Here is a 15,045-nt window from a genome sequence, read left to right on the forward strand (position 1 = left end):
GTATTTCCCAGAAAGTGCCCTGGAGAAAACATTGAAAATTGAATAAAACCCACCCAGTAATCATTCTGTTCCTTGGAAATATTTATTACCATGTTGATTCTTTCTGGAACAGGATAAATATTGCCTAAGAGAATTAATTAAATCTTTTAAAAGTCTAATGCAACAAGAAATATTTATTTACCTATTTATTCATGTAACCTTTAGGTTTTGTTAAAATATTTGACACTAGACCTGTTATTAAAGAAGGTTATAAAGGAACAGTGGCTGAAATTGTTGTATTTGGAAAAAACAGCAATTTCTTCCTCTAGAGAAGTTACGATATAAAGCTCTTTTTATACCTAAGAGTATGTGAGATTTAAATTTCTCTATTTTCAACTTTATTCTTTTTTTCCAGTAACAATGTAATTCACTTGATTCATGGTTAATTTTTATTCTATCATCTTCCCCTTACTCCTTTTGATAAGTATCATGAATCATTTTGATGGAAAATACAATCCATGGGCATTAGTTTGAGTGAGAAAATATAATCCTGTAATTTAAAAGGATCAAGAAGAAAATAAACAGTTGAAAAAATCATCGATGAACTAGTTTCTCTTTAAAAATAAGCAAAAAGTGTTTTCCTTTTTGAATTCTTAATATTAGTTGCATTCACATTTATATAGTGATTGACAGTTTAAAGAGAAATGAACTGAAAGTTTATATTAAAACCATGCATGATTGTTGAATCTTTTTTGATTCAACAATGAAGCCACAAATTATTGTAGGCCCTATGTTAGATAGAGCCTACATAAATCTGTAGTGTTACTCAGTGAAGGGGAATGGACTAACTTTGGTTTTCATCAACCAAGAGAATCTTGGGAACTCTATTCCTAGAAATGACATTGAGAAATAATATGAAGAATTAAAATCAGATCTTTCCTGAAAACTGGAATCCTTATCCACCATTCTGATTGTGTCACCTAAGTGAGCATGTGAAGCATTGACATGCCGGTGAATGTTTCCAGAGACCATTTTGGATGACCCTGCTTGAGAATTGATGTGCCTTCCACAGGAAGTCCGGTATTATTGAAGGGGTCACTGATCTAAAAGGACTCCCCACTGAATCACAATCTTTCATCATAAATGATTAAATTTCACCCATTTCAAGGCCACTGTTCAAAGCTATACTCAAATGCAATGATAAAGCTTTAAGCACAAGAGAAAAATTTATTTTAGTGGATGACGAAAATTCTCTCTTACTCAATGCAGTAAACCTCATTTCGTTTCTGTTTTCATAATTTTGAATCTGTCTTGTCTGGATTTGAACATTATTAATTAAAATCATAAGTAATGGAATGGTGTTCTCTTCTCTTGAAGGGAAGGCAGATTTTCTGGGAGTGGAAAAAATGTGCATGTGTATAACATACACACACATTTATGTAACACTTTTTTAAAGGAAATTTATTCTCCATCCTCATTGGATTTTTAAAATACCTTTCTAATAGATTAACTATTTATAATACTTTGGGCTTCTGCTGAAACCATTAATATGTGATGTGGTAGATGAGAAATGTACTTTGTTAATGGATCTTTAAAAACAGGCATTTATATCTTAATTTATTTTATCATTTCTTCTTGAACAAATATTTTGGTCTAGTATATAAAAATCCCTTTGACATTCTTAGAAGAGGTAGAAAGATCTTCACTGGCAAGGATTTCAAAGCCTAGTGAAGAGAGAAAAAAGCATATAAGTAAGTAAAAGAGAAGGTAGAAGGTGATACATGACATGAGAAGGATGGGTCAAGAACCACAAGTTTTCTATAAGTGGGAGAGAACAGTGAAGACATCACAATAGTAATATGACTTAGGCCTCGGAAGATGGGCAGAATCTGTGCAGGTGAGGAAAAGAGGAAGAACATTTTTAGATGAAGGCACAGAATTGTGGGTGAGAGAATGCTAGCTAATTAGAATAAATATGCTGTAGAACTGGGTACGAGTACTTTACCACACATATAGCTGGAAGAAGTAAGGAAGAGGAAAAGAGAAGATAATATTTTGATTAATGATATCGCTAAAAATCTAGACATCAGGGAATGCTTGAGTTTTGGATTTAGACAAACTTTAAAAGAATATAGTATTTTATTTGTTACATATGCTTTGTTTCTATGGTACTGTCTTATATCCGGTAATCTTAATATTTAAAAAATTCTTAATATCTGACATGTTGAATGACTTTAAATGTGCTCATTCTGTATGTACAGTCGAAGAAACTATTAAAGTTTTTAATTGAATGAAGTATATCCTAATTTTTGTTTCTGCATATGTTATAATGTTAAAACGTATACTTATTCTGTTCTCAATAGAATGTAAATTATAGGCTTATAGTTAAATCTGATTTTAAGATTTCTGAAAGTGCTGAATAAGTTCCTTTCATTGCTTCAGGTCACTGATATGATGCTTCAGGACAAACCCTATCCTGACTGGGGAAAATCAGCAAGAGCTTTCTGGAAGAAAGGAAATGTTAGGATCACTTTATTCTGGTAGGAAATTGTTTCACTTATTTATTTCTGCCTTGCCTCATTCACTGAAGGACTTTAGTTGGATGTAATTTTCCTTACAATTATAGAATTCTATCTAGAGGGACATTTTTGGTAGCTACTATGCTCCATTAAAACCATTATCCTAATTATTTTATGAATTAATTTCTTCTTACATATTGTGTATATTCACATTTATAAAACAGAAGTTTTGCTAATATAGTGATAGAATTAAGATTTGACCAGAGGTAAGTTCTTGACTCAGCAAAAACAAGCTGTAATTTTCATCAGTAAAATCTGATAGATGAAACTGTCTCCTATAAATACTAAATTGCCTAGTATATTTGACAGGATATGATTTTGCTCTGAGAAGTGATAAAGAAAAGGAACCTCTTTATAAATCACATCTTCTACATTGGCATTTCTTCTTTATGTAGTTTCGTTTAGCTCTCCAGCCCAATCTTTGCAATTAAAAAACAATCCATGTCTTATGGAACTTTGTTTTTTGTGAAGTCACCATTATTTATGTGTACGTGAACAAGTTCAAACAGAAAAGATAGGAATGGAGAGGCAGCAAGAAGGGCACTTTCACGTGGCTGTGGGACACTCCCCAAGCACAATGATTCTGTGTGATATAATATACAGTTGAATAATTATATAATCCCAAGAAAAGTTATGTAAACTAACACTTATAAATGTTCTACAGTATTTCCCCCTTATCTATGGTTTTGCTTTCCCTGGTTTCAGTTACCCTTGGTCGACTGCAGTCTGAAAATATTAAATGGAATGTTCCAGAAATAAACCATACATACATTTTAAATTGTGTGCTGTTCTGAGTAGTGTGATGAAGCCTCATACCCTCCCGGGAGATCAATCGTCTCTTTGTCTAGCGTCTATCCATGCTGTCGATGCTACCTGCCCTTTAGTTACTTAGTAGCTATCTCACTTATCAGATCTATTGTTAAGGTATTGCAGTGCTGTGTCCAAGTGATCCTTATTTTAGTTAATGATGGCCCCAAAGCACAAGAGTATTGATGCTGGCAATTTGGGTTAAGCCAAAGAGAAGTGATATGGCTTCCTTTAAGTGAAAAGGTGAAAGTTCTCTACTTAATAAGGAAAGAAAAAAGATCATACACTGAGGTTAACATATCGTATGCTGAGAAATATGGTAAGAATGGATCTTCTGTCCCTGCAATTGTAAAGAAGGAAAAATGTTTGTGCATAGGATATATAGGGTTTAATACTATCCAGGACTTCAAGTATCCACTGGGGGTCTTGGAATGTACGCCCACCAGATAAGGGGGACTACTGTAATTGATTATAGCTGGCTCTGATGTATATTATCCTGTATACCTGCCTTTTGAAACAAAAGAGAAAAAAATCTGTTTATTCTTGGATTTAATTCTGGCGGTTGATTTTTTTTTTAATGCAAAAGCTTCAAAAATCATAGTAACTAAGTACTTGAGGAAAATATACACTCTATGTTATCTTTTGTGCTTTAGTACTATCATTAAATGTTGCTGGAGATATAGGACATGTTGAACTCAATTCTTAACAGGTAAACAAAAGTGGATTTTCAATACTGTTATGAAAATGAATATGATTTTTTAGCTGTGTATTCACACCTCATCTTCATGGGTCACATGTGGCCTATGGTACTATTTAACCTCCATCTTTTTTCCTATTTGTAAACTTCCCATATAGCTTTTCTGAATAATATATAATTTAATGATTATAAGAAATATTTATTGATAGTATGTTTTGCTTGAGGCAGCAGGCCAAAGACTTTACATCCTATATCTTTATTTATTTAATCATGACAATCCCATAAGATAGGTGCTATTGTTATAGGCATAGTTCTCTGACTCCAGAGCCCTAGTTTGTAATTATTACACTAGGACTGCCTCTAGGAGAACAAAAGATACATCAGTGTGCAAATTTCCAAATGATTAATGTTCATTCTTGTTTAGGTAGGGTGCTAAAGAAGAACATACAGTTCTTGGGAGCCCTCTTCCCTACAAAATTCCCCACATGGGTTTTAAAAGTCAGAATTTGAAAGGAGGTAAACTAATATCAAATGTGTTTATGGATGGTCTCTCTTAAAACAATATTTATTTACTATGTTTACACATGTTTCTTATTAGTGTACTGATACGGTCTCACTCTATGTCCCCACCCAAATCTCATCTTGAATTGTAGTTCCCATAATCCCCACTTGTCGTGGGAGGGACCCAGTGGGAGGTAATTGAATCATGGGGGCGGTCACCCCCTTGCTGTTCACGTGATAGTGAGGTCTCAAGAGATCTGATGGTTTTATAAGGGGCTTTTCCACGTTTGTTTGGCACTTCTCTCTCCTGCTGCCATGTGAAGAAGGACGTGTTTGCTTCCCCTTCAGCTGTGATTGTAAGTTTTCTGACGCCTTCCCAGCCATGCGGAATGGTGGGTCATTTAAACCTCTTTTCTTTATAAATTACCCGTTCTTGGGTATTTCTTCACAGCAGCATGAGAATGGAGTAATACATGTATCTTCAAAGGTAGCTGATTGATGACTGTTCTCTGCTAGTTACCAAGGTCACATGTATACTATTTGCAAGGGTAAGCCATGTATTCTATAGGCCCCTATGATTGTTGTCATTAGCTGTTCTTAATCATGATTGCTGTTTCAGAGGAGAGAAATCCATTAATATGATTTTTTCTTTGAACATTATCACTCAGGTCTATATATCACCAATGTCTTACAAATTTTTTTTTTAATTTTTTTTTTTTTTTTTTTTTTTTTTAAGACAGAATCTCACTCTGTAGCCCAGGCTGGAGTGCGTGGCACAGTCTCGGCTCACTGCAGCCTCTGCCTCCCAGGTCCTAGTGATTCTCCTGCCTCAGCCTCCAGAGTAGCTGGGATTACAGGCACGTACCACCACGCCCAGCTAGTTTTTTTTGTTGTTGTTTTTTGTTTTTGTATTTTTAGCAGAGACAGGGTTTTGCCATGTTGGCCAGGCTGGTCTCAAACTCCTGACCACAGATGATCCACCCACCTTGGGCTCCCAAAGCGCTGGGATTACAGGTGTGAGCCACCACACCCGGCCTCAAATGGGTTTATTTTTAACATATGTGATAACATAGCCCAGTGGGTATTCTAAAACGTAGTTTAAATGTTGTAAAAATGATAATTTAATTAGTCACTGGCAAGTAGATAATATTCTTAAATAGAGAGCAACTAAAATTCACACTTTTTTGTAGTTATTCTTTCTGTAAAATTATTAATAATTAGGCAATATATTAGAGAGATTGTTTTCACTGTTATATTTCAAAAGTAGTATTTCAAATCATTGCATAAAGTAACTGAAGAACAATTTAAATGCCACTTTAAAATTTTTTTCCATTTTATCCATTTCTATACATTTAGATTATCTTGACAATGGTATTCATGGTTGTAAAAAAGGAAAAGCTGATGGAAAAAGTTGAATATAGAAATTATGTGGGAAGTAAAGAAATCTTCCTTTTTATTCATACTTTTCGCATAAAAGGGATTTAGCAAGTAAAAAGGGCATTTGGGGTTTGGTTTGGTTTTGTTCTTTTAGCCCTAGGAGATAAAATACAAAACTCATTGGCAAGGTTTTAGATTAAATAAAAGACAGTATTTACATACTTTATGTCACCCACTCAAAAATGGGTATTTTCTTTTGATTTTGCTTTAGTTAAGGAAAGAGCGATTAGTGTGAAAAAAAATGTATGGTGGAGAAAAAATTTTGCAAAGGAAATCTTTCTTAAGTTGCAATGTGACTATGCACAGCAGTTTGAGCAGCACAACATGTAATTTTGTTCTAGTAAACATATCTCTTACCTACTTGTAGCTGCTTTAACTCACAAACACCTGTCAGAAACTGAGTTCTTCCTTAATTTTCAGTGATAGGTGTCTCTACGTTGAAGAAAATGGTTCCTATTTCTTTCTGCAGTTGTGCAAAGATGAGGCTGCTGTAGCACCTGGGCTTTCATATTGCAAGGGAGCCTAAATAGTGGCAATATTTGAAAGGCGGAAAGGGAGGAATATGTATAGATCTCTTCCAAAGCCCTTTCCGTAGTCCTTTTGATAATGAAAAAGAGTAAAGATCTAAGAATCTAAATGCTATATGAATGCCTTATGCTCTTCTATTTTTCAGAGGCGTTACCAACAACCATTTTCACTGACTTGTGTCTGAGGTAAAAGAACAGCTACATAAAGAACAAGTAATATGATATTCATGTTAGCTTCTATCCCCCTGATTTGTGTACTCTCTAGAGAAACAATTTGTATGCTTTTGAAGGGAAGAATTTTAGGATGATATTTCCCAAAGCCTTAGCTTTTTTTAAAAAAAAAAAAGACAAAATAGACTTCTATGATTAGTAGAGGAATTGGTGGAAGAAGGGATTGGGAGATCTAGTGCTCATTAGGGCTTCACAAATACTCCAGGTCTTCACCTTCCAGACACGTAAGAGGATTTCACCTTTCTCCCCCCTCTGATTACATGACTTGCCTTGATCAAGGCAAATGTGAATAAAATTGGCATGTGCCATATCTAGGTGGAAATATTTAATATTCAATGAGATGCACTGAAAGGAGCTCCTTTCTTTCTTTCTTTCTTTCTTTTTTTTTTTTTTTTTTTTGAGACGGTTTCTTGCTCTGTCACCCAGGCTGGAGTACAGTGGCCCAATCTTGGCTCACTGCAACTTGTGCCTCCTGGGTGCAAGAGATTCTCCTGCCTCAGACTCCTGAGTAGCTGGGATTACAGGCATGCACCACCACACCCGGCTAATTTTTGTATTTTTAGAAGAGAGGGAGTTTCACCATGTTGGTCAGGCTGGTCTTGAACCCCTGACCTCGCGATCTGCCCGCCTTGGCCTCACAAAATTCTGGGATTACAGGCATGAGCCACCACTCTCAGCCAAAAGGAGCTCTCTTTTCAGTTGCAATTGTGGAAGCCTGTGTCTAGCTGGAGCCCTTGTCATTTGGATTCCCTGAATGACCAGGATAAAACAAGCATCCTTGATAACACTGCAGACTTGTAGTTTGAGTGAGAAATAATCCACTGAGATTTAAGGACTGTTTGATACTGTAGCCTAAAATAACCCATTCTGATGTTTACAAAAAGTCATCCCTAGAAATGGGGCGCTGCCATAACGGAAAGCTGAAATTTGTGTATTAAGGGATGGGCAGCAAATGGCAAGGAAATTGATGCTGGAAACTGGAAAGATGGTAATCTGAGTATTACTGAGTATTATAGTGGCAAGTGTTATAGTATTTGAGTATTATAGTGGCAAAGCAGTTGGTAAAAACTGTGGTCTGTGATGACTTGGAAGCTCCAGGAGAAGTTGGAAAGCAAAATGTTCATAGTGTGTTGCTGTGTGTATCTGTGTACAGCAGTTGTGTACTCTGTTCCATCCTGGAACATAAAATCCTATGGAAATCCATAGGATTAAATTTTATGTTTTCTCTTTTGGATGTGCAATGTTGTATATTTTTTAAAGTACTTTCTCTACCAGTGTAATGGTGTGGATGGGGTATCTCTTAATCATAATTATCTTAATTCTTAACTGGGAAGCAAATGTAGCAGCTGATATTTTTCCTGCTTTGAATATCATAGTTATTAAAGTTTAACAAAAGGAACTTAGTTGTTTACCTCTGACCAGAGAAGAGTTAATCAACAAATGATTATTATCTTAATATACATTAAATATGGTATGGAGAGTAACATAATAATCATAAAAATACAATAAGGTAATAAAAAGACCTAAGAATCAGGGGAAATGTCAGGCAGAAGAGTTTTGGTAATAGTATTAGTAACTAGTAGTTTGACGTCCTCTACAGAGCAACTCATTTGCCATTATTAAGTGAAAGTGAATTATTATTTGTTTTATGAGCCATGGTTCAAAACTAAGGGATGTGGAGAGTGCAGGTGAGGGTTCATCTGAGACAAGTTGAGACCTGTGACAGTCCCCATTGATGAGCAGTCTCTTTCTGGGATTAGGCTGCTACCATTGCCCAGATCCAGCGTGAATTCCCCTCAGCACTGCTGGTTACATAGTGCCAGCTCTTGTTTTCAAAATATCTTTTTTCTTCATTTCCCCTGCTGTCCAGAGCTCCCTTTGTGTGTGCCTTCTTTCTTTAGAATAAGGGATAAATGCATTAAATATATTGACGGTTGAAATGCTTTGATGTTTGTTTTTGCACCAAGGAAGTTTTCTGACAAACTAGAGGTAGAATCTATAGGCAGGTGTCACAGGTCAGATGAGTCAGTCTCTGAATTAGTTCTCACAAAAGTTAAATAAAACCTGATTATAATGGCTGGGCATATGAGTGACTCGTATTCCAGAAACCAAAGAGGAACCAATGTCTCTATGTGTAAGCTGGACAAAGCTTTGCTATTAAGTCAGAGAAAAATACATGCTTACCTTATTTATATATTTGTTCATATTGATATCTTTCAATTGTGTTAGTCCTTCTGGGAATGTAATATGGAACAAGAAACATACACCCTGATGAACAGAGTTGCAACAATTGCTTAAAAATACTAGCAAACCAGGCTGGGGTGCGGTGGCTCATGCCTGTAATCCCAGCACTTTGGGAGGACGAGGTGGGCAGATCTCTTGAGTTCAGGAGTTCGAGACTAGACTGACCAACATGGTGAAACCCCATCTCTACTAAAAATACAAAAATTGGCTGGACGTGGTGGCACATGCCTGTAATCCCATCTACTCAGGAGGCTGAGGCAGGAGAATTGCTTGAACCTGGGAGGCAGAGGTTGCAGTGAGCCGAGATTGCACCACTTCACTCCAGCCTGGGTGACAGAGTAAGGCTCCGTCAAAAAAAACAAAAAACAAAAAACTAGCAAACCAACTTCAACAGCACATTAAAAAGATCATGCACCATGACCAAGTGGGATTTATCTCTGGGATATAAGGGTGATTCAACATCTGTAAATCAATCAATGTAATTATACCACATTAGAGTAACAGAATGAATAAAAACCACAGTTATCCCAATAGTACAGAAAAAGCATTTGACAAAAGTCAACATCTTTTCATGATAAAAACTCTACAAACTTGGTATAGAAGGAATGTACCCTCAACACGATAAAGGTCATACATGAAAAGCCCACAGCTAACATCATACTCAGTGGTAAAACCCGAAAGCTTCTCCTCTGAACATGCCAAGGTTGCTCACTCTCCCCCACTTCTTTTCAACATAGTACTAGAAGTCTTAGAGCAATTAGGCAAGAAAAGGGAAACAAACAAGTCCAAATTGTTGCACCCAGACATAGAAAGACATTTAACCTATCAGACATATGAGACATATTACCTATCAGTCATTACCTCTGTAGTGAAGTCTCCTTATAATCTCCTTATAATTCTATTCTAGGGCAACTATCATTCAGTGCTTCCTGTATTCCTGGTACTGGGCTTTTCACATTCGTTGTTTCCTTTAATCCACACTGCCACTCTTCATGGTAATTATCATTATTAGCTGTATTTTAAAGACAAAAATCTGCTGTTTAAGTTGCATAGCTAGTGAACCTGGGAATCCAGTGTGGGCAGAGCTTGCACAGTACTGCACTGTATGGCGACAGTTATTCTAAGATTTTAAGATATTTAACATATTTAAAAATGATTAATCATATTTTCAACAAATGTATTTACTATAACCCTTTCTTTCTCCTTGCAAATGAATTTGGGTTATGTAAAGGAAGACAAAATATCCAGGAAACCCTTGGAGTTTATCTACTTATGTTCTATTACCCTTTTATTATTGACAAAGAAATTGAAACAAAAATAAGTTACTTGTCTAAGCACAAAATTAATGTTTCTGTGGCAGTGAGCACCCAGGACTACTGATTCCTGGTCTAGCAGACTTTTGACTATTTCACATTAACTCCCTATATTCTTTGTTGTTGTTGTTTGTATGAAAGAGTCAATAAAATTGAAACTAAAAGAATTTGCTGATGATTAGATATATTGAGATAACAACTCTTTTAAGTCAGTAGTAACAATCAGAACATTCTGTGTAGTTTAACTTGATATAATTGTATATCATTTTCTCTCAATTATGGAGGTTAAGCAAGAAAAAGATGTACAGTATATAGTTCAATTTGCCAGTAAAACATGATGTATTACCAGAAACTTCACTTAATTTCACATATAAAAAGCCAGTTGCTGTTATTTTTATTTTGTTTATCTTCAGGGTTTTCAGGGGCTTAATTTCTTTAAAACATATTTGCAAGGTTGAAATTAAATACTATAGTTGATGTCCTAAATGTTGGCTATATTAAGCACAACAAAAGCCCAGCATTTTATTGGGGACACTAGAAGTAATAAGATACTACACATTATAGCTACTCAAATAATAACTGTACTCCTTGGAAAATAATGAGTTCATTGTTCCTGCCAAAAGCATCTACTAGGGAGATAACATTCCAGCATTGGTTGCAAGAACAGTTGGTATCTAAAGTTCTTTGCATTCTAAAATAATATAATTCTGGGTAGTCTATTTCCTTGTCTAAGGTCATCTATGTGTTCAGACAAACATGAAGTCTTCAGTATAATGATTAAAACAACTCAAAGTAACATCCTAAGAAAATGTTAAATTAGTTTTAGCATGCTCATTCCATAGAACACAATCTAGCCACTATCTTTTCACTATCTTTGGAAAGATATTTAATGACATGGGAGGTGGAGAAAAAAAGATACTAATGTAGGTATCTTTAGAAAACAGTGTGTTGACTGGGAATTTTAAGAATTAATATGAAGGGAACTAGACATGCACAACTGTATTCTAGTTGGTAGAGTTATTTCTCATGGGGTTACCAGTTAACAACTCTGAGCTTGCTTTACATGTTTGCTAGAATTGATTGATGAGTAAATGAATGGTAGATGACAGAATCCAGATTTCTCACTGTCAAAGACTGAAGTTAACAGAGAAGCAAGGGGTTGGGGACAAACTATAATCAACAATGTGGTACTGGATTAGAGACAGAGACATCAGTATGAATTCATGTTTAGCTTAATACATAGAAAGATGGATAGTTACAAGGATAATTTTAGCTATGTTTGTATATAGCTCATTCTAACATAGAAAGATGGATAGTTACAGGGATAATTGTAGCTATGTTTGTATATAGCTCACTCTATCTGCTGAGAGAGCTTAGATAGAATAATACCTCAGTGGTAATAAGCACACCCCCTACCCAGATCTTGGTCTCTGACATCATTCTCCAATAAAAGGAACCAGGGCTCTTTGGAGAAATGACTGATTCTAAATCTGGGGTAGAGAATATAGAAGATGATCCTGCAGCATCGTGTCATGCCAGAAAGTAAGGAAGTGTTCAAAAAACAGAATGATGGAGCATTTCAAAGGGATGCAAGAGTCAACCCAAAAGAAGTCTCAATGGCCAAAGCTAGAGAAATTTGGTCAACAAAATGAATTACATAGTATTAGATTATAACCCAAACTATCAAGTACTCATGAGTTCATACTTAGATAAAAATGATTAAATAAATAAGTAAATTGGAAAGAAGAGACAAATCTCCTGTACAGAAGAATTTACATAATTTATGTAGATATTCCTGTCCTCAAGATGGTGAAGCTTAACTCCCCACCCCTTGAGTATGAACTGAACTTTGTGACTTGCTTCCAAAGAATAGACTGTGGAAAGTGGCGGAAAGTAGCTTTACAGTAGAGAAATCTGACAAACATTACCTTGACCTTGTGATGAAACTTAAAGTTATCAGTGATAAGTCATGTTGATAGAATGTAGGTTATACATCTGTACCATAAAAATGCTGTACCATTATAAATATTTTATATCTATTTGGGCCCAATTTTTAAAATACTGTATCCTAGTTAGAATAGAAAGATAAAAGAGAAGGCCATCTAAGGGGGCTTCTCCCAAATTATTCATTAATGTTCAGTTGTTTATAGCAGAAGATTTTGTTGTTGCCTACTTATGCATAAACCTCAAGGCTGTAGCAACCACTCTCTTATAGCCAGTGTGTGTGCCCTAGCATAAGCTTCTAACTATGGACTATTTCTTTACTGATATCATTCAGTATAGGGATAAATCAAATGTGCAAAAAGTTAGAATAAATTTGTGATCTGTAGTTGATCATGTCTTCCTCATGAGCATCCACCTAGCTGCTATAATGTGGGATATAGGGGTTCATCACAAAATTTTAAATTAGTAATTAATGATATCTGTGAAACTTTTGTCTAAATGGTATCTTTCAGAGAACTCAGTCTTATTTGGTTAAGTCTATTTTGAATAAATGTTTAGTTTTTTAGATCTCCCTCTTTCTTTTTTTTTTGAGACAGAGTCTCACTCTGTCAACCAGGCTGGAGTACAGTGGCATGATCGCGGCTCACTGCAACCTCCATCTCCCAGGCTCAAGCAATTCTCCTACCTCAGCCTCCCGAGTAGCTGCGATTACAGGCATGTGCCACCACGCCCAGCTAATTTTTGTATTTTTAGTAGAGACGGGATTTCACCATGTTGGCCAGGCTGGTCTCGAACTCCTGACCTCAGGTAATCCGCCCGCCTTAGCCTCCCAAAGTGTTGGGATTACAGGTGTGAGCCACCATGCCTGGCTGATCTCCCTCTTTCACTCCATCTTCTTGACTTCTTTACCTTACTTTATAATGATGGAGGAGGGGAAGTCTGTGTATCTTTGATGGTCTCAACTGTTCATTTAGCCTTACTCATGGACAGTGATGGTTGAAGTCCAGCTTCCTGTTTGATCTTTTAATTCCTAGCCTTGTGTCTCTGGTCATGAATTCCACTCACCTACCCCTCCCTTCAGGTCCCCACAGTCCAGGGACTTAGTCTTGGACTGCTGGGACCTAAAGGGTCTTTGAATCCAGGCCTTTGCAGTCTTCTCATCACCTTTGCATCCTCTTAGTGAATGCAGGAACTTCTGGGTCATCTGCAGGACTTTGTGGCATTGGCAGAGAGAAAAGGAGGGCATCCAGAGCTTTCTCAGTCTCCTGTGCCTACCTATATCCATTTACAAATGCCCTAGACTGTGATAATCATTCTTTTATAGGAAAGACCTGCCATCTCCCTTGGGCTACAGTCAGAGAAGCCCTGATGCACCTTGAGTGCCTTCATGTGAATCTTGTCACTTCTACATATCACCACTCCCTCCTTAAAGTAGATGCTGGTGGTATAGGGGAATAAGATCCTTGCTGTCTGGCTTTCTCACTCTTCTATCCCTCTTTTGCTGCCTCTAGGTGGAAGGGAAGATTTCCTCCATTTTCATGGGCAGGAGTTTCTTTTACATTGTGTCCATCCTGCCTATTCTCTCCACCTCTGTGGTCAGGTCAGTCAGGCCTCTTGATATAGTAGCTCTGAGATGTTAGAAATTAGGAACTACCAAGGAATAATGTATTGGCTTAATAGTTCCAAAACAGAATCCCCATTACATCTCTATAGCAAGTAGTGCTATAATGCCACAAACTAGGCTTTCTAGCAATATAAATCTTTCCAGAATGCTACATTCTCTAAATCACATGTTTTGGTGGTTATAGATCCAGGAAGGTGTTGAAACTATTTAATAGTAAGTGTGAACCCTGATAAAAAAGTCATAAACCAAGAATTCAAAAACTTTTCCTTTTTTTTTTTTTTTAGTGCTAGTCTTCTTCTTTTAACTTTTATTTTAAGTTGAGGGGTACAAGTGCAGGTTTGTTACATAGGTAAATTTGTGTCATGGGGTTTGTTGTACAGATTATTTCAGTCACCTAGGTATTAAGCCTAGTATCCATTAGTTGTTTTTCCTGATCTCTCCCTCTTCCTACCCTCCACCCTGCAAAATGCCCCAGTGTGTGAACACATAGATGAATAGAAGGGAAAGATTTTTTTTTTTTAACCTTTCTTTTCAGTCCTCAGTTCTTGGGCCATTCCATATGAATTTCTTTACACGAAGTTCTCCTTTTTCAGCATTATCATCCCAGTGTTTCTGTAGATGACTTGAGCCTTTCCCCCATACCAGACCTTACTCAACCCCCCAGACCTTACTCAACCCCCATACCAGACCTTCTCCCTTCATGGTGGCTTCTACCTAGATCATCATTTGGAACTAGATCCCTCAGTTTGTATGACTATTTGATGGAGTCTCTTTCTTACCCCCAAAGTAGAAATTTACTTATTTTGTACACATGGTTTCAAAACAAAGGCTATTAAGAGTGTTCTGCTTTTCTCCAAATTGGCACTTCCTTTGCTCCTAAGAATAGGCTGCTCACATTTTAAACCAAAGCACCCTCTTCTATATAAACTATGAGTTTTTCCAAGTTTTAGGGTCCTGTTTCCTGCTATTCAGATTGGAGTTTCACCTCAGTTAACTAACTCAGCCAACCAGAGCTTATACAGGCTGACTTGTGAGGTCCTAAAGCAAACCAATGCAAAAAACAGAAATTCAGGTCAATGATAAGCAAAAATACCAAAGCTGCCAAGAGAAGCTTCTGAAAAGTATAATTGTTTGCCTCGTTCTGCCAATTGGCTTGGCCCTT

At 36.5% G+C, this 15,045-nt stretch overlaps 1 protein-coding gene across 10 annotated transcripts in view; it reads left to right on the plus strand.

Moving 5' to 3' along the window:
* Positions 1-15,045, plus strand: part of TMEM117 (transmembrane protein 117) — a 603,307-nt gene that overhangs the window by 413,067 nt on the left and 175,195 nt on the right. For all 10 annotated transcript variants that reach the window (XM_047429662.1, XM_047429665.1, NM_032256.3 and 7 more), the window contains one exon: positions 2,422-2,519. In XM_047429662.1, coding sequence (XP_047285618.1) covers positions 2,422-2,519 — 98 coding nt within the window. The remainder of the gene's footprint in view (positions 1-2,421; positions 2,520-15,045) is intronic.

The sequence above is a fragment of the Homo sapiens genome, chromosome 12, assembly GCF_000001405.40.
Source record: "Homo sapiens chromosome 12, GRCh38.p14 Primary Assembly".
NCBI lineage: Eukaryota > Metazoa > Chordata > Mammalia > Primates > Hominidae > Homo > Homo sapiens.